At 42.0% G+C, this 20,365-nt stretch overlaps 1 long non-coding RNA gene across 2 annotated transcripts in view, besides 2 other annotated features; it reads left to right on the top strand.

Annotated features, from left to right (window-relative positions):
* Window positions 66–20,365, top strand: part of NUP50-DT (NUP50 divergent transcript) — a 30,024-nt gene continuing 9,724 nt past the window's right edge. The window contains exon 1 of one of the 2 annotated variants that reach the window (NR_038956.1): window positions 66–270. This is a non-coding gene — a long non-coding RNA (NUP50 divergent transcript). Of the gene's footprint in view, window positions 271–11,262; window positions 11,443–20,365 lie in introns of those variants that run through there. The other variant, NR_038957.1, reaches the window with a different exon arrangement.
* Window positions 361–410: a silencer, noted in NCBI's record as "silent region_13872". NCBI's record gives its function as "represses an Ori minimal core promoter by ATAC-STARR-seq in GM12878 lymphoblastoid cells {active_cell/tissue: GM12878}" and the evidence as "EXISTENCE:reporter gene assay evidence [ECO:0000049][PMID:35858748]".
* Window positions 3,845–4,139: a silencer, noted in NCBI's record as "tiled region #5104; K562 Repressive DNase matched - State 8:EnhW". NCBI's record gives its function as "represses a minimal TATA promoter and a strong SV40 promoter by Sharpr-MPRA in K562 cells {active_cell/tissue: K562}" and the evidence as "EXISTENCE:reporter gene assay evidence [ECO:0000049][PMID:27701403]".

Genomic DNA, 20,365 nt, shown 5'->3' with positions numbered 1-20,365 from the left:
GGGGCTGAGAATGCCGGTCTCGCGCAAGCGCGCACGCGCCGACCTTGATCTCGTAGCCGGCGCCAGCAGCCGCGCTTTGGGGCGTCGGCTCACGTGGGGCCGGCAACGCGTCTTCCAGGATGTTCGCGCGCTAGTCGCCGCTGAGGGGCCGGCGATGCGCGAGGAGTTCCGGCGAGGAAGGTCGGTCAGTGGACATGGCCGAGGCCCGCGGTGTCCGCGTGTGGGAGCTGCAGGGCTGAGGAGAGGCCGCCCGCAACCCTCGGGAATCGTGTGAGGTGCCACTGGGGTCGCTTCACATCAGGAGGCCCCGTCTCGGGGGACGCGCGCAGGTGACCCTGCTGGTCGTACCTGGCCGGGGTGGCCCGGAGGGGCTGGGTCTCGGCGCCAGGAGGGGCCGTGTGGGCCGCCTGTTAAAGGACCCCTCGTTCGCTGACATTTGATTTTGCATTGGGTGCCTTCTCTTCTGTTTTTTTCAGCCAGTGAGATCCGTCCTGGGCACTCAGCTGTAGAGCAGGGGAACGAGTCCTGCGCTTTTTGCGCTGAGGTCTCCTGGCCCGTAGGCCAGGCAGCCTCTGAGCTCCTTTCTCACCAGCAGCTTGCGATCCCTCATCCCTGGCCCTGTCACTCCCAGCTGTTTCCAGTGCCGCCCTTTTTTTTTTTTTTTTTTTGAGATGGAGAGTTTAACTTGTTCGCCCAGGCTGGAGTGAAGTGGCACGATCTTGGCCTACTGCAACCTCTGCCTCCCGGATTCAAGCGATTCTCCTGCCTCAGCCTCCCGAGTAGTTGGGATTACAGTCGTGCGCCACCACGCCCGGCTAATGTTTATATTTTTAGTAGAGACGGGTTTTCACCATATTGGTCAGGCTGGTCTCGAACTCGTGACCTCAGGTGATTCCCTCCCCCCGCCCCACCACCTCAGCCTCCCAAAGTGCTGGGATTACAGGCCTGAGCCACCGTTCCCGGCCTCGAGCGCCTTCTTATAAACTGGATGGTGGTTTTTGTTTTCACCTTCAAAGTCGAATCTCCCTAGTCCGTTTATTACCAGAAAGAGGTCTCCACTCAGACCCAGCGAGAGGCTTCTTGGATGTCGCGTAGGAAAGAATTCGGGGCGAGTCCACGGACTAAAGTGAAAGCAAGTGTATTAGAGAAGTGAGAAAGCAAAAGAATGGCAGAGCAGGGCATTCCTGAAAGCGGGAGGAGGAAGGCGCCCGCCTTAGGTACAGTGCTTGTTCAAATCTAAGGTAACACAGCCAAAGAAATCTTGGGGGACATGGGCTCTACCACGAGGGCCCACGACCAAGGTTTCATGCGCGTCCGTGTGAAGAGACCACCAAACAGGATTTGTGTGAGCAACATGGCTGTTTATTTCACCTGGGTGCAGGCGGGCTGAGTCCAAAAAGACAGTCAGCGAAGGGAGATAGGGGTGGGGCCGTTTTATAGGATTTGGGAAGGTAATGGAAAATTACAGTCAAAGGGGGTTGTTCTCTGGTGGGCAGGGGTGGGGGGTCACAAGGTGCTCAGTGGGGGAGCTTCTGAGCCAGGAGAAGGAAATTCACAGGGTTAATCACTTAGTTAAGGTTGGGCAGGAACAAATCACGATGGTGGAATGTCATCAGTTAAGGTGGGGCAGGGCCTTTTCACTTCTTTTGTGATTCTTCAGTTACTTCAGGCCATCTGGGCGTATACGTACAAGTCACAGGGGATGCGATGGCTTGGCTTGGGCTCAGAGGCCTGACACAAGGATTGTTCATCTTTGTTTACTGACTTTGGCAAAGATCTATATTATCTTTAAAGCGAAACCTAAATGAAGAATGCTTTTGATCTTAAGATATTGTTAGGTTTTGAAGGGAAGACGAGAGTTAAAGAATGACACACAGGTCGGGCGCTGTGGCTCACGCCTGTAATCCCAGCACTTTGGGAGGCCGAGGCGGGTGCATCACCTGAGGTCAGGAGTGGGAGACCAGCCCGACCAACATGGTGAAACCTCATCTCTACTAAAAATACAAAAATTAGCGGGGCGTGGTGGCACATGCCTGTAATCTCAGCTACTTGGGAGGCTGAAGCAGGAGAATCACTTGAACCCGCGAGGCAGAGGTTGCAGCGAGCCAAAATCACGCCATTGCACTCCAGGCTGGGTAATACAGTGAGACTGCGTCTCAAAAAAAAAAAAAAAAAAAAAAAAAAACAAAGGGCAGCTCAACAGCAACACAGGTATATGGCAAAAACCTACAGAGATGGGGGATCAGCTTAATGCCAGAGCCCACTGCTGCTTACAGGCTGGGGTACTTATAGGGCAGGAGGGGAATGGGCAGTATGGCTTGCCATGTGAATATACTTACCAGTATATCTATCCATAAAACGTTCTATGATCAGGCAGTTTGGCCCTTGTTCCCTCAGAAAGTGACAGTGATGTTCCTTGCACCTTTGCTGAGCAAGGTTTGATAGGGATGTTCCTTCAATTGGGCCTTTACCCAACAGGGTTTGGTAAGAAAGTTGGGCAGGAAATTTCTCACGGCCTGAACCCCCGTGGAATGTTTCGCTTTGACCAGTGTCTGCGAAATGGCGGGGGGCTTAGAAAATGGTGCAGTTTGGCAGGGCGTGGTGGCTCACGCCTGTAATCCCAGCACTTTGGGAGGCTGAGGCGGGTGGATCACAAGGTCAAGAGATCGAGACCATCCTGGCCAACATGGTGAAACCCTATCTCTACTAAAAATACAAAAAATTAGCCGGGCGTGGTAGCGGGTGCCTGTAGTCCCAGCTACTCAGGAGGCTGAGGCAGGAGAATGGCGTGAACCCAGGAGGCGGAGCTTGCAGTGAGCTGAGATTGCCCCACTGCACTCCCGCCTGGGCAACAGAGCGAGACTCCATCTCAAAAAAAAAAAAAAAAGAAAGAAAGAAAATGGTGCAGTTTGGACTAACAGATACAGCGACATCAAAATGTTTCCTGGGTCTGTTAAGTCCTGGGTTTGTTTAGTGAACGTTATTAATCTGTTCCTGTAACCCTAAACATCTTGTGACTACTAAGAATGCAGCCAACAGGTCTCTGCCTGATTTTACCTACTGCCTCTTCAAGATGGAATTGCTCTGGTTCCAATGCCTCTGACAAACTGGCTGCTTGATCTCTAGGTTGTGACCATGTCAGGGATAGAGGCAGCTTAGGTAGAGGTAGACTTTCTTGTACTCAACATTGAATTGTGGCTTAGTTAAAATCAGAACTTTCATTCTTGGAATAATACAGTATTGTAAGGGTAAGCCAAATGATTAACACATTTACTTAATTACACATTGTAGCATTGAAATAACTGATGCCTTTCTAATGCAAATAAAAAAGATTTATGTATATGATAGCACTGTAGCTGTCTTGCGCCTTACTGGATGGATTTCATTGCTGGCTAAAATGACAACTTTAAACTGGCTATAACTCAGAAGAATGGAGGCACTTTGCACGCAGACATCTACCTCCATTGAATTTGGCTACTTCCTTTTAATGAAGCTCAAGTCTCATGTTATGAAATACTCCTCCAAAGGTGTTAGCCCTTTTTTCCTATACTCTGCCTTTCAAAAATCCCTTTCAATTTGCTTAACCCCTGAGAGCCAAAGGACTGTGATGGTTGTTAGGCTGGGTCATTGTCATCATGTTCAGTAAATAAATACCCAGACATGTCAGTTTACCTACTTTACCTGATTCCAAATGAGTCCATGGTGATGTGATCCTGCCTTTCTTTCTGCTGTTAGAGGTCCATGCCAGGAGCCAGCTTTGTATCAGTTTTGCCACAGTGATCAGGTCATAAATGTCTCAGATCATTCAAGCCCAGTTTAACCTAGCAAAGAAAATGGCAAGATAATATTGCTGTGTTCTAGCTGTGTTCTGGCCTTCATTTTAGGTAGGCTTAAACCTCGACCTGGAGTCATTCCTGTTACGATTTACCAGAAAACACCCAACAGGAAGCCTACAGAACTACACTTTGCTCCTAATGTTAAGGAATGAAAACAGGAAATGTTCTGTTATCTGCCTGGCAGTGGGGCTTTGGAGTTAATCTCCTGGCCGTATCACTTACCAGCTTGGCAGCCTTGGACAAACTGAGCTCTGAGCTCAAGTTTCCTCATCTGTAAAGCGAGGGTGTATTATGTACCTTCATTTGGTTGTACAGATTAAGTGTGAACACTTAGGTAAAGCACACAGTATGGGGCTGAGTAAATGGACTGTTAAATAAGACAGTATCACTTGTTTTTAAGTTCCTTGGAGCTTTCTCCCCTAAACAGCTCAAAAGATTTTCATTTTTTTCTAATGCTAATATTTTTCTAATTCTTGTTTTAAAATATTTTACTGTAAAATATTTTGGCCAGGTGTAGTGGCTCACACCTGTAATCCCAACACTTTGGGAGACCAAGGCAGGAGGATTGCTTGAGCCCAGGAGTTGGAGACCAGACTGAGCAACATAATGAGACCTCGTCTCGTCAAAAAACAAAAATGGAAAATTTTTAAAAAACAGGCCGGGCATGGTGGCTCACGCCTGTAATCCCAGCACTTTGGGAGGCCAACGTAGGCAGATCGCTTGACCCCAGGAGTTTGAGACCAGCCTTGGCAACATGGCAAAACCCTATCTCTACGAAAACTGTTTAAATTAGCTGGGCGTGGTGGCACGTGGTGGTTCTAGCTACTTGGGAGGGCTGACGTGGGAGGATTGCTTAACCCCGAGAGGTCGAGGTTGTAGTGAGCTGTGATTGCACCACTGCACTCCAGCCTGGGCGACAGAGCAAGACCTTGTTTCAACACAAGTAAAATATTTGTGAAATGGGAATTCAGTTTCATTTTTTTTTTAACTGATCAAAAATATAACTTTCACCCCCACTGAGGCTTAAAAGAACAAAAACAAAAAAGTGTGACTGACATTCGGCGGTTTTGGCTTCTAGACCGCCACTAATATTGAGCTGAGTTCCTGTAACTCTGGCTAAAAGCAAAGAGCTGTGTTTTAGCCAGAGCAGTTTTATTATGAGTTAGATTTATGATTTCCAGTAGGCTTTTTGAAATGTTGGCCAGAGGTCAGGGACTCCCTGTCCCCATTCATAGATTCTAGACTGAATCTCTTTCAATATGAACACATTTGGCTCTTTAAGAAAGACTTAACTAAACTGGGATTCAACTGGATTGCCTCGAGACTTTGGGCAGAGCACATGACTTATTTTGTCCTAGAGATTCCAATCTGCTGGACACTCAGAAACTTTCACAACTTCTATTTTTCACATTTTTTCATATTTTAGGCTTCAGTGCAGAAGGATTAAAAGTAATGGCTAAGTTTTCTAATGCTGTTATTTATTTTTTCTTGAGGCTTTATGGTCACTAAAAAAGTAACAATATATAGTACGTAAAAAAACTTAAAGATACTGTGGCTTATAAAAGCGTATCTTTTTTCTGAGAACAAAATTAGCCAATTAAATAATAAAACCATCAAGAGATGTCACCAGTCAATGATGATGGGGCAAAAATTGTTCTGCATTCCGAGGAGGGAGAAATCGATGCAAGCAGAAGCGATTAAACATTCACATCTTGGAGCTAAATGACCTCCTAGGATGGATGGGTTTTATAGAGGTGGAGAGGTGGGGGGAGGGTGCTGGATGAAATAACTGGAAAATCTCCTTTTTCTTACTATTTTTCTTCAGTCCCTTTATAGGCACAACTGCTTAAAGAAACCAGATGGCCCCAGGATGGTGCCAGAGCTTCCTGACCCCTTATCAGATACCAGAGGAAGATAAGACTGCAGAGCGGAACAGGATAGGCAACCCCTGGTTGGCTTCAGATCATTATCATGTCGTTATAATGCTAAAATTCCTTCTCCTAAAAGAAAGTCTCCACCATTTTGTGTACATGTGATGTATGAAGACGTATGTTTATGAATTGTGTGTGCACATTTAGAGTCTCACTTTGCACATGCTAACATTCCTCTCCTGTCCCACACCTAGTCCTAAAAACTCCATGCCTTCTAGTGTTTGGGGAGAAGGGGCATTTAGAGTTAAGAGCCCCTTCCCTGGCCAGCGACTAAAACCTGGTTACCGTTTACAGTTGAATGTCCTCTGCGTAAATCGATACAAAGTGGGGAAAGAGCTGAGTTTACCAGTGACGACTGGAAGACCCTCTCTTTGAGATTTGTACCAAACCAGGTCTCAGTCTGCCTGTACATGCTCTGTCATTGCTTTCACTGTGTTGACCTACTTGCTGCTTTACCCTTTGTGTCTGGCCCTCTCTTGTACTTAGTTCTTTCCTCCTGTCCGTCTCCACCCTCTTTCACATACTTTTTCTCAGTTTTGTGACTTTAGCAGACCTTTTCGGCTGGCCCCCAGCACATCCCATGGCCTGGCAGCAGGTGGTTTCTGCCTGGAGGGCTCAGCCATCAAAAGATTTCAAGATGTATATTTTGTAAGGCAAAGCCTATACTCATAGACTTTGTGAAGGACCTGGTTGGGGAGACAGGAGAAAAAATGGATGGGAAAAAAGTAGTAAGCAGTTTTACTGTGTGAGATATTAGTGGGCGAGATAACATTGAAGCAGTGCTTGATTAAATACCAAATGAAGTTCCAATGGTAGCTGAGAGAAGGGAGGGGAGAGACCATTTCAGACTGGGGCCTGTGTTAGTCTGCTTGTGCTGTTGTAGCAATGTAGCACAGACTGAGTGGTTTAAACAAAAGATTGATTTCCTCACCGTCCTGGAGTCTGGATATCCAAGATCAAGGTGTCAGCAGGGTTAATTTCTTCTGAGGACTCTCCTTGGCTTTTAGATGGTCACTTTCTCCCCGTGTCTTCATGGTCTTCCCTCTCTATTTTGTCTGTGTCTCTAATCCCTTATACAAACACCAGTCAGGCTGGGCACGGTGGCTCACACTTGTAATCCCCACACTTTGGGAGGCTGAGACAGGAGGATCACTTGAGGTCAGGAGTTTGAGACCAGCTGGACCAGTATGTTAAAACCCCGTCTCTACTGAAAATACAAAAATTAGCCAGGAGTGGTAGCTCACTCCTGTGGTCCCAGCTACTTGGGAGGCAAAGGCAGGAGAATTGCTTGAACCTGGGGAGGGTGAGGTTGCAGTGAGCTGAGATCATACCACTGCACTCCAGCCTGGGCAACAGAGCAAGACTCCATCTCAAAAACAAATAAAGCCGGACGCAGTGGCTCGCGCCTGTAATCCCAACACTTTGGGAGGCCGAGGCAGGCAGATCACTTGAGGTTAGGAGTTCGAGACCAGCCTGGCCAACACAGTGAAACCTCATCTCTGCTAAAAATACAAAAATTAGCTGGGCATGGTGGTACACGTCTGTAGTCCCAGCTACTTGGAAGGCTGAGGCAGGAGAATCGCCTGAACCCAGGAGGCAGAGGTTGCAGTGAGCCGAGATTGTGACATTGCATTCCAGCCTGGGCGACAAGAGCAAAACTCCGTCTCAAAGACAGACAAACAAAAAACACCAGTCCCTGGATTTCTAACTGCCTCATTTTAATTTAGTTACTTCCGAGGCCCTTTCTCCAAATGTAGTCACTTTTTGAGGTACTGGGGGTTAGGTCTTCAACATAAGAATTTGAGGGAAATAAAACTGAGCCCATAGCAGGGTAATAGGAAAGGCTTTACCAAGTTAAAGCTGGGATTGGAAATACCCCATTTCTGTGATTAAAAAATGTACCTTTGACATTTCTGAAATCAGTATATTTCTGACCTTCAGGGTACAGTTTAAAAAGGCATACTGCCCTGGTTTTACCATTAGTGGTTGAAAGGATGGACAGTACAGACTTCTACTGGGAAAGAGGTCTTAGTGTTAGATGCATCAGCTTCTTGGGTCAGGGGCAAGATTTTTCTCTAAGTTGCCTATCGGAATTGAATCTGCCTTGCCTGAGCCTCTCCTTTCAGACTTTCTTCCCTCTCCCCAGCCATCAGTGACCTTTCAGTCTTCATCCCAGGTCCTCTTTCTTCCTCTGCCTCAGAGCCTAGTTAATTGCTTCTATTCAGTGAAATTAGAGTTCAAGAGTCTGGGACTGGGATTCCTTCTCAGAGAATGCAGGAGTAGAAGGCAAACACATCTGACTTCTTGCTTACGTCATAGAACATTACAGGATGCTGTGGACTGAATTGTGTCCCCCACGAATTCGTATGTTGAAACCCTAACTCCTAGTGTGATTGAATTTAGAGTAAGAAAGTAATTAAGGTTAAATGATGTCATATGGCATGTGAAAACACAGCCAGAAGCTGGCCATCTGCATACTACCAGGAACTGACTTGCCAGCCTCCAGGACTGTGAGAAAATAAACTGTTGCTTAAGCCATCAGTCTATGGTGTTTTGTTAAAGCAGTCCAAGCTAACTAACACACAGAGGTACGAGTCCCTCTGAAAATTGTCAGTGTTCCTTCAGTTCTCTTTGGGTCAACTTCAGTCTAAGAATAGGTCTTAGGCCAGTCAAGCTGTACCCCTGACACTGAGGATGGTTCCACTAATTCGCCATCCCCTAATTCAGGAGGGGGAAGGATAGATACGTGAACAAAATTGAGATCCTTTTGAGAAGGAAGAGGAAGGGAATCAGTGCTGGGCGCACATTTAGCAATGTCCAGATGCCCATATGCGATACGACCATGATATGATCTTAGGTGGCATTAATTGAATACTATTTAGAAGGAGGAAAATGGCCTTTTTCTACTCCCAGCAGTTGAGACCAAACTTGTAGTAGGCACAAGGAGAGGCAGCATAGAGGGTAGAGGCTAAGCATGCAGGGCCCTGGAGATTGGCTGCTTGCATTTTAATACTGTCTTTCACATCCTAGCATTGTGACTTTGAGCAGGATACTTCTGTGTCTCCTCATCTCCAAAATGGAGAATAATAATAGTAACCTAGCTAATGGGATTACTGAAGATTCAAGTAATACAATTGAAATGCTTTAAACAGAGCCTGGCACATAAATACTAAATAAAAATTGGTGTTTATAATTAGTCTGCTCTGGGAAACATTCTTTCAAGAAGCATACAGACTAAGTGCAACAGATTTAGAGAATGTGACTGAAAAGGGAAGGGGACAAGCCATGTCATCTAAGTGAAGGCTGAAGGAGCCAGGGGTGTTAAGACTAGAAATGGGAAAACAGGATATAAAACATTTGACACATCTGGAAAAGTCTCATATTGTTTGTTGTCTGTTATGTGTGTTTTGTGTGACTCAGAAGTAGATAAGACGAATAGTCCTAGAAGGAATGCAGAAGACAGTGAGATGGAGTTGAGAGTGTGATTTCACAGTCATAAAGACTCAAGTCTGAATTCCAGTTCTGTCACTGATTAGTTCTGTGCCCTTGGAGGTTTTACTCACATTCATGGAACCTCAGTTTGTCTGTCTGTAAAATGGAAATAATGACTTCTGCTGTTTGGTTGAGCGAGGTGATGGGGATGGTTCATGGTGAAGCAGAAAGGTACTACCAGATGAGTTTACTGGCTGCGATCTGGCCCTCAACTTTGCAGGTCTAAACTTTTGTAATTACCCAGAGATGAGCTTGGTGGCAGACCGACACTAATACCTCTTTCAGGGTTGTAGTGGGTTGAATAGTTAGTGGCCCTCAAAAGATATGTCAGCATCCTAACCCACTCAACTGGTGAATGTAACCTTATTTGGAAAAAGGGTCTTTATAGATGTAATTAAGGAACTTGAGATGATCCTGGATTTTCCAGGTGGACACTAAATGCAGGGACAGGTGTTCTTAAGGGAGGAAGAGCAGGCAGCCATGGGAAGACAGCAAGAGAATGGAGGTATGCAGCCATAAGCCAAGGAACACCTGGAGTCACCAGACACTGGAAGAAGCGAGGAAAGATTCTCCCTAGAGCCTTTGGAGGGAGCGTGGCCCTGCTGGATTTTCAACTTTACCCTCCAGAGCTGTGAGAGAATAAATTTCTCTTGTTTTAAGCCACCAAGTTTGTGGTAACTTGTTAGAGCAGCCTCAGTAGCCACTAAATAAAGTCCAGTTGATTAGGGAAATCTATCTGGCTTAACTAATGATAAAAACAAATTTAAGAAAATAATTCCTTTGGGAGGCCAAGGCAGCAGGATTGCTTGAGGCTAGATGTTTGAAACCAGCTTAGGCAACTAAGCAAAACGCCATCTCTGCAAAAATAAAAAAAAATAGCTGCACATGGTAGCACATGCCTGTAGTTCTAGCTACTAGGGAGGCTAAGGTGGGAAGATTGTCTGAGCCCAGGAGTTGGAGGCTGCAGAGAGCTGTGATCGCACCATTGACTCCAGCTTGGGCAATAGAGTGAGACTCTGTTGCTCCAAAAAAAAAAAAAATAGCCATCAGAAGAAGGTGTTGTTAATAAAAACCAGATAAACTGGGTTTGGAAAAGAATATTTTGCCATATGAATCCATCCCTGTCCAGGTGAAAGAGATGAGGAGCCTAGAGACGAAAGATTTTGGTTACTACTGAAGTGTTCTGTTCAGTGGGTCATGGACGTTTCATTATTAGGCTGCTTCCTGGTCTGAGTGAAATCTCTTCAAGACGATTCCTTTCTTTGCTGCAGTTCAGCATTTATCAAAAAATAGCCAATGGAATGCCAGTGCTGAGAAATGCTCTGAAGTAAAAGTATTCCATGGTTAAATAGGCTCGGGGTGTCGTATCTCCCCAGTCTTAGAGCTTCACAAGCACATCATCATAGGAGCCAAGAAGTTATGACATAAAGCTGTTTGAACTATTTAATATTTTCACAAATGTATTTGAGCCCAGGACCTTTGTATAGCAAAATAATACCACATTAGAAACATTAATAATTACATTTCCCAAGTATCCTGGTATGGGGAAAGAATGCCCTGGTTAAGAAATTCAAGACAATAAAAGCTGAGTGCGGTGGCTCACGCCTGTAATCCCAGCATTTTGGGAGGCCAAGGCGGGCAGATCACCTGAGGTCAGGAGTTCGAGACCAGCCTGGCCAAAATGGTGAAACCCCATCTCTACTAAAAATACAAAAATTAGCTGGGCGTGGTGGCGGGCGCCTATAATCCCAGCTACTTGGGAGGCTGAAGCAGGAGAATCACTTGAACCCAGGAGGTGGAGGTTGCAGTGAGCTGAGATCGCGCCAGTGCATTCCAGCTTGGGCAACAGAGTGAGGCTTCATCCCCCTCAAAGAAAAGCCAAACTAATAAGATTCAAAATGATAAAATAATAAATTGGTGTTTTTTTATACTTTGCCCTATAGTAGTTTCCTTGCCTCTTCCAGCTTCTGGTGGCTGCCCCAGCATTCCTGAGCGTGTGGCTGCGAAACTCCAGTCTCTGCCCCCACCTTCACATCATCTTCTCCATGTCTCCTTACCTTCCTTTGCCTCTGTCTTGAAAAGACACTGTGATGGCATTTAGGACCCACCCAGCTAATTCAGTGTGTTCTCATCTGCAGATCCTTGATCAAGTCACATTTGCAGAGACCTCTTTTTCAAATAAGGTAACATTTCCAAATTCCTGGGATTAAGACTTGATATCTTTGGGTGGTCATTATTTAACCTACTACAATTGGGCCTATCCCTAGGCCATGCCAGCCTGGGTGATAAAGCGAGACTCTGTCTCAAAAAAAAAAAAAAAAAAAAATCTTTAATTGCTGAAAAGCATGAAATGTTTCCTTTCCGTCCCTGAATTTTCTCATGTCATTTTTTTCACTGGAATGCCTTCTCCCTCTTCTTTGTTTATCCAAATTCTACTTTATCTTCCAAAGCCCATCTCACCTTCTCCAGTAAGTCTTCCCTGAGTGCTCCAGCTTTTGATCAGCTCCTCCTCAGAATCCTCTGGCACCACCGGTATCATTCTTCTGAGCCCTCTTCATGTGCATTGTCTTGGCATTTAAAGTAGGAGTTTGTGTGTACATGAACACGAGTATATGTACACATGTGTGATCTTCCCATTTACATTTAAGATCCTCGAGCAGTGTTTTTCAGCTTTGGGCTCCTCTGGTCTCTGGGGATTACGAAGAGGTAGTAATGGCTTCATTACAGCTTATCACAGGGACACTGCTAGAGATGTAAAAATGAGTGAGACATGGTCCCTATCTATAGGAAATTCAGAGTGTGGGACGGGCTCCAGTCATAGAAACAGAATTTCAATACGGTATGCTGAGAGCTGTAATACAGACACGCACAGGATGCAGCTGTAGGTGTGTGCGCTTCAGGAGGTCTTCTTCAGAAAGTTTATCACTGGTCACATGTTTATCCCACAACGGGTTTTCACATTTTAATTAGAATGTCAGCTTTTTCTCTTGGTTGGCATTTTTTTCAACTCAGTATGATCATTCTAGATGTTTCCTGCTGATGAAATTTGATTGACATTTTGTCTTTGATTTAAAAAAATAAAAAAAATGATGAAGTTGTAAGCTAATAAATGCAGTTTGGCAGATGAAATCTTTAAAAGCCTGGGAGTTCATTGGGTAAAAGTATAAAAGTTGTCCAAAAGGAATCACTTCTCTAGAGGTGAATGTTTTAAACTTAACTTGTGTTATGCATGTGGTAGTTGTTTGCTAGAGTCTGGGTTGTGTCCCCCCAAAATTCATCTTTTGAAGTCCTAATCCCTGTACCTCAGAATGGGATTGCATTTGGAGACAGGGTCCTTAAAAAGGTAATTACGTTAAAATAAAGTCATTAGGGTGAGCGCTAACCCAGTATGAATCCTGTCTTCTTAAGAAGAGTGAATTTGGATGTAGATGCGTGGACAGAGGGAAGACCATGTGAGGAGGCGTCGGCAAGCCGAGGAGGGAGGCCTTAGAAGGAACCACCCTGCTGACACTTTGATCTTGGACTTCTGGCCACCAGAACTGTGAGAAAAGAAATTTCTGTTATTTAGCCACTAGGTCTATGGTAGTTTGCTGTGACAGCCCTAGTACTAACATTTTGTTTAATAACCGTTTTCTTATATATTGGCTCTCAGGGCCCTTCATAGACATCTTGCCCTGGTCCGTTTACTCAGCCTTCTGTCCTGACAGTCCCTCACACCTTCTATGCCCGCTGACCTCTCAGTGTTCACTGAATACATCCTGCCTTTGAATGCCTCCGAGTCCTTCCTGAGGATTCTCTCTGCCTGGATTGCTGTTTCTTCTCCTAGTTGGACTTCTTTGAAAACCTTAGTCAAATGTGTGCTCTGGGGAGCCTTCCAGGGCTCCCAGGCTGAGTTAGAAGTTTTTTATGGCATTGTATTTTCATGAAAGTGTCTCCTCATTAGACAGTGTGCTCCTAAAGTATAGGACTTAGGTCTGATTCATTTTTGTACCTCTAGAGCCAAACATGGTGTATTAGTTTGCTCAGACTGCCATTATTAATACAATATCACAGGCTGAGTAGTTTAAACAACGAACATTTATTTTCTTACAGTTCTGGATGCTGGAAGTTCCAGATCAAAGCCCAGCAGAGTTGGTTTCTAGTGAGGAGTCTGTTCCTGGCATGTAGAGAGCTGCCTTCTAGCTATGTTCTCACGTCTTTCCTCAATGCATATGTGAAGACAGAGGTCAGGCCAGGGGGAGGGAGAGAGGGCTCTCTGGTGTCTCTTCTTATAAGGACAGTAATCCCACATGTGGTCAAGGCCCTACCCTTATGATCTAATTTAACCTTAATTACTTCCTTATTGGTCCTATCTCCAAATGAAGTCACACTGGGGATTAGGGCTTCAATATATGAATTTTGGGGGGACACAGTTCAGCCTATAACACATGGTCAATCATGATTTAAGCTGATTTGGAAAAAATTAAGTCTCAATTGTTAGTGAACACCAGTCTCTATATTGATATGAGCTATTGGCAAATAATTCTATTTGAATAAAAAGAATATTTTGAATAAAAGGTAGAATCAAATATTGACAACCATGAACACACGTGGAATAAGATACTCTAGGATTATATTATCTACATAATTATATATGCAGAGTCCTTGCACCAAGTTGTATTAGGCAAGGATATTACAATCACTCTCATTGGAATCTTCCAGAAGAACATATTACGTTTCAGATGTTTATAATAGCAATAAGCCACTCAGTCTCTGACTCAGCTTAACTATTTTCATAATTGTTTTAAGCTTTAGGCTCAGAATTTTTTGCCAGCAAAACTCACACTTGACAAACACAGACTGCTGAATGCAAAACAAGTTTTTAGTATTTACAATTGGATAAACTTGATATGAAAAGAACAACTTAGAGCTTTTTTATAAATACAGACTAGAGGATAAGCTACTGAGTAAAGTTCTATATCATAGAGACTAATGAAATCCCAATTTAGATTTTATTTTAGGTTGGTTTTGTAGTGAAAAACCAACCTTCAAAGAAAGGAGTAATGTTCAGGTGTGCACTTAAGAAACCAAAATAATCTAAGTGAAATACCTAATATATAAGGCCGGGTATAGATGCTTCTCAGCTTACGATGAGGTTATGTCCCTCATCATAAGTTGAAACTATTATAAACCTAAAATGCATTTACTACACCTGACCTACTGAACTTCATAGCTTAGCCTAGCCTACCTAAAACTTGCTCAGAACATTTACGTTGGCATACAGTTGGGCAAAATCATCTAACACACAGCTTATATTAAAATGCTGAATATCTCATGCAGTTTATTGAGTACTGTACTGAAAGGGAAACACAGAATAGTTGTATAATTACTCAAGGTATGGCGTCTACTGAATGGGTACTGCTTTTGCATCTTTGTAAAGTTGAAAAATCTTAAGTCAATTCATTGTAAGTCAGGGACCGTTTCTACCAATAATTTAGAGACCTTGAGTATATTAGGGTACACTGGGTTGGCATCTACATAGATTCTAGGTGGAGATAAAATCCTGACAGCTGTATAGTTTCATGATTATGATTTTCAGGTGAAATATACAGCCTGGGAGAAATGTAATGTTTGAGGATATCGGAGATACGGTGCCTATAATTACTACACAAAAAAACCTAAGAGGGCATTAGTATATTAGTTTTTATCTTCAAGTTTACCTTACTCTTCATACATGTCACTGATGCTAAGATCTGTTAAATGAAAATTCTGGAAAAAATGAATATGATCATTGTACAGTGTATGAACCTTGATATTGTGGCCTAGAAGATATTATAAAACAAGATTGATTCTAACTGAAAAGCTTACACATTCTCTAAGCTCCAAATCAGATGTCGAGGGTAGGAGCACTTCTGGAATAGTGGATAAAGACCTGAGAAAATCAACAATTCCATAAAAGCAACAAGACCAAGCAAGATACATGAAATAAAAAGCAACAACTAAAGGGAGAAATGCAATACCCACTTTTCAATAATAGATAAAACTACCAGGCAGACGATCAACAAGGAAATAGAAGACTTAACACTATAAAGCAACTAGACCTTATAGACACCTAGAGAACATTCCACCCAAGAACATCAGAATACATACTCTTCACAAGTGCCCGTAAAACATTTTCAAAGATAGGCCATGTATTAGGCCATAAAACAAGCCTTATAAAATTAAAAGGATTGAAATCATACAAAGTATGCTCTCCCCTCACAAGGGAATTAAATGAGAAATTATTAACAGAAGGAAAGTTGGGAAATTCACAGATATGGAAATTAAACAACAAACTCATAAATAATGAATGGTTAAAGAAAATCACAAGGGAAATTAGAAAATATTTGGAATGAATTAAAGTGAAGACATAACACCAAAACTTACGGGAAGCAATAAATGCAGAGCTTAGAAGGAAATTTATATTAATAAGAGATCTCAGTCACAATGTCTTGTGCCTATAATCCCAGGGACTTGCAAGGCTGAGGCAGGAGGATCACTTGAGCCCAGGAGTTGGAAGCTGCCATGAGCTGTGGTCACACCATTGCACTCCAGTCTGGGCCATAGAGTGAGACTAAAAAAAAAAAAAAAAAAAAAAAAAAAAAAAAAAAAAAAGAGTGAGGGCTCAGGCCAATAACCAAATCTAAAATCTTTTACCTTTTAAGAAAGTAAAAGAAAAAGGGGTGGGGGGGTGGGGAGGGGCAGCGAGGAGTAAAGCAAGCTAAAGCCAAAGCAAGCAGAAGAGAAAAAATCACGGATTTTAGTGGCAATACAGAATAGAAATAGAATAGAGAAAAATCAAAAGTTACTCCTTTGTTCTTTTCAAGCTTTTTAGTTAGACTGACCAAGAAAAAAAGACTCAGGTTACTAAAGTCAGAAATGAAAGAGGGCATCACAAATGCCCTTAAGATTAAGAAGGGCTATAAGGGAATATTATGAATAATTTTATGCCAACAAATTGTATAACCTAGATGAAATGGGCAAATTCCCAGAAAGATAAAATTACCAAACCTTGAGAAGAATTAGAAAATCTGAATAGATTTTTAACAAGTAAGGAGATTGGGTTAGTAATTTAAAAAAACCCCAAAACCCTCCCAACAAAGAAAAGTCGAGGACCAGATGGTGTCACTGGTGAATTCTACCTAACATTTAAAGAATTAACACCAATCTTCTCAAACTTCCAAAAAACAAGAGAAGAAAACGCTTCCTAACTCATTCTATGAGACTAGCATTACCATGACACCAAAGCTAGACAAAGGCAGTGCAAGAAAACTGTAGACCAATATTCCTTATGAACATAGATGTAAAAATTCTCGAGAAAATACTAGCAAACTGAATTCAGCAGCATATTAAAAGAATTGCAGATATTTGTCACTTATGAGGAGGAAACTTTCTGAGAAATGCATCATTAGGCAATTTTGTTGTTGTGTAGACGTCCTAGAGTATACTTACACAAACCTAGCTGGATAGCCTACTACACACCTAGTCTGTGTGGTATAGCCTATGCTCCTAGGCTACAAACCTGTACATGTTGCTGCATTGAATACTGCAGGCAACTGTAATACAGCGGTAAGTATTTGTGTATTTAAACATAGAAAAGGTGCAGTAAAAGTAAAGTATTATAATCTCAAGTGAGCACCATCATATATAACGCTGTTATGCAGCACATGACTGTATATACCCTGACCAAGTGAGATTTGTCTTGGGAATGCAAGCGTACTTCAACATATAAAAATCAATATCATACACCACATTAATAGAATAAAGGGAAAAAACTATATGATTATCTCAATTGATGCAGAAAAAGCATTTGATAAAAAAACTAACAGCTTTTCATGATAAAAACAGACAGCAAACTAATAATAGAAGGGAATTTTATCAACTTGATAAAAGGTATGAAAAACTCAAAAAGAACAGTATACTGAGTGTTTTCACCCTAAGATCAAGAACAAGACAAGGAAGGGCACTCTTGTTACTTCTCTGCAACACTGTACTGGGATTTGTAGCCAGGACAATTAGACAAGAAAAAGAAATAAAAGGCAAGATTTCAATGGGAAAGAATAGACTTTTCAACAAATGATGCTGGGACAACTGGATATCCACAGGAGAAACAATGAAGTTGAGCCCCCACCTCCCACCATATACAAAAATTAACTCAAATGAATCAATTAAATGTAAGAGCTAGAATCATAGACGTCTTAGAAGAAAGCATAGGCATAGATCTTCATTGCCTTGAATTAGGTTATGATCTCTTACTTATAACACCAAAAGCACAAGCAATAAAAGAAAAAATGAATTAGACTTCATCAAAACTCAAAACTTTTGTACTTCTTAAGATACCATTCAAGAAAGTGAAAAGATAACCAAAAGAATGAGAGAAAATATTTGCAAATCATATATCTGATAAGGGATATATATATATATAATATATATGTATACATATATATAAAGGACATGTTGGGACCAGGAGTGGTGGCTCACACCTGTAGTACAAACACTTTGGGAGGCTGAGGTGGGAGGATTACTTGAGGCCGGGAGTTTGAAACCAGGCTGGACAACGTAGTGAGACCCCCTCTCTACAAAATATGAAAAGTCAGCCCAGCTACTTGGGAGGCTGAGGCAGGAGGATCACTTGAGCCCAGGAGTTCGGGGCTGCAATGAGCTATGATTGTGCCACTGCACTCCAGCCTAGGTGACCAATTGAGACTCTGTCTCTTTAAAAAAAAAAAAAAGTGTATAACTCAACAATAAAAAAGACAAAAAGCCCAGTAAAAATGGGCAAACTACCTGAATAGACACTTCTTTAAAGAAGATATACAAATGGCCAATAAGCATATGAAAGATGTTCAACATCATTAGCAGGGAAATGCAAATCAAGACTGCAGAGAGATATCATTTCACACCCACTATGTGGATATAATAAAACAGACAACAAGTGTTGATGATGTAGAGAAATTAGAACCCTCATACATTGTTGGGGGGAATAAAAAATGGTGTAGCCACTTTGGGAGACAGTTTGGTAGCTCCTCAAAATGTTAAAAAACAGAGTTATCATATCACCCAGGAATGCCATGCCTAGGTATACACCCAAAAAAGTTGAAAACATGCCCATAGAAAAACTTTTACGCAAATGTTTATAGAATTATTCATAATTACCAGAAAGTAGAAATACCAAAATATCCATAAATGAATGAGTGGATACATAAAATATGGCATGTTCATACAATGGAATATTATTTGCAATAAGTAGAATGAAGTATTAATACATCCTGCAACTTGGATCTACCTTGAAAACATGCTAAGTGAAAGAACAGAAGACCAGTCACGGGAGACCACATATTGTATGACTTTGTTTATATGAAATAGCCATTATACAGAAATGCATGGAGATAGGAAGTAGAGTAGTGGTTGCTAAGGGCTGCAGGGAGGGGGGAATGGGAAGCAACTGTTAAGGAGTATGGATTTCTCTTTGGAGTGATAAAAATATAACACTTGATAGTGGTTGATTATTGCACAATTCTGTGAATGCATTAAAATCCACTAAATTGTGCACTTTGAAGGATGAATTTTATGGTTTGTGAATTATATCTCAACAAAGCTGTTATTAAGAAAAAACTACCATGGGACTTGAAAGCAGATTAAGGAAATAAGTATTCTTTGTAATTTTCCAACATGCTGTTTGTTAGAGGTTCATTTCAGAACTACCAGTTGTGTTGGAGGGATAAACTGTGAAGATCTCTGGTGTTCCTTCATTTGTGCTTCTAAAAGCTTATTGAGGACAGGAACCACATCAGTTTTATCTGTTTTCTAAGACTTTGGGAGTCCCGTGACATTAACCAAGAGTCTGCAATTACCCCTATGAGCCCCAGATGCACAAGTCATTAAAGACCAAGTCCTCACATCCTTCCTAATACAGCGCTGCTCACCAGGTTCTTTTCATTTGCCCTGTTTCAGTCAGACTGGACTGCTTATTCTCTATGTTGTTGTTACCACTATTTCTTTGTTCAAGCTTCTGTTTCTACCCAGAATGTTTCTCTCTGTCATCTCTACCTGTTAAAATCCTACCTACTATTCCTTATATCATCTCTTAATCATATGTTACTATTGTCTGGTATTGTCATTTTTTATAACCTTAGTAGACATGATTATTCTTTATATGATCAATGTTTATTTATAGTTGCCCACACATTTATTACTTCTTTTTTTTCATCTTAGAACTTCTAACTGGGAACTCTTTTCTAATGCCTGAAGCACAATTTGTAGTATTGCATTCAGTGAGGATCTACTGATACAGACTCTCAATTTTGTTTGTTGAAACTATTCTTATTTTAATTCTTGAAAATTTTCTTGGCAGTTCTTTTCTTTGAGATGCTTTCTTACACTGTCTTCTGATCTCTCTCACTGCTGTGGAAAATCAATCTATGGAAAAGCAGTCAATGCTTCTTTGAAGGGCATCCCCTCCATACACACTTTTACAACTTTTTTATTTGATTTTTTTTTTTTGCAATTTCACTATGATATATTAGATGACAGTTTCTTTTTGTTTATCTTGTTTGAGATGTACTGGGCTCTCAAATCTGTGGATAAGTGGTCAGACTGGTGAAACTCACAGCGTTATCTCTTCTGTTGTTTCCTCTGCTTGGTTTTCCCAGTTCTCTCTTTCTGGGACTTTGAGCAAATACATTAGACCTCCTTACTGTATCCCACACATCTCTTACCCTTTCCTCAGTATTTTCTGTCTTCTCCAGGCTGCATTCTGGATAATTTCTTCTGCATTGACTTTCAGTTCATTAATTCTCTCCTTGACTGTGTCCAGTCTGCCACTAATAGTCCATAGAATTTGAAATTTGGGATATCCTATTTTTCATTTTTAGGAATCCTGTTTGGCTCTTTTTCAAATATGTTTTTTTCACATTTTAGTTTCATGCTCCCTGAAAATATTTTTAAGTTTGTCATTTGTTTCATTTAACGTGGTAAGCATAATTGTTTTTATTTATTTATTTATTTGAGATAGGGTTCTTGCTCTGTTGCCCAGGATGGACTGCAGTGGCATGAACATGGCTCACTGCAGCCTCAACCTCCTGGGCT

Source organism: Homo sapiens, chromosome 22 (genome assembly GCF_000001405.40).
Source record: "Homo sapiens chromosome 22, GRCh38.p14 Primary Assembly".
Classification (NCBI taxonomy): domain Eukaryota; kingdom Metazoa; phylum Chordata; class Mammalia; order Primates; family Hominidae; genus Homo; species Homo sapiens.
The sequence above is the reverse complement of the archived record's forward strand: the minus strand, read 5'-3'. Positions and strand labels throughout refer to the sequence as shown.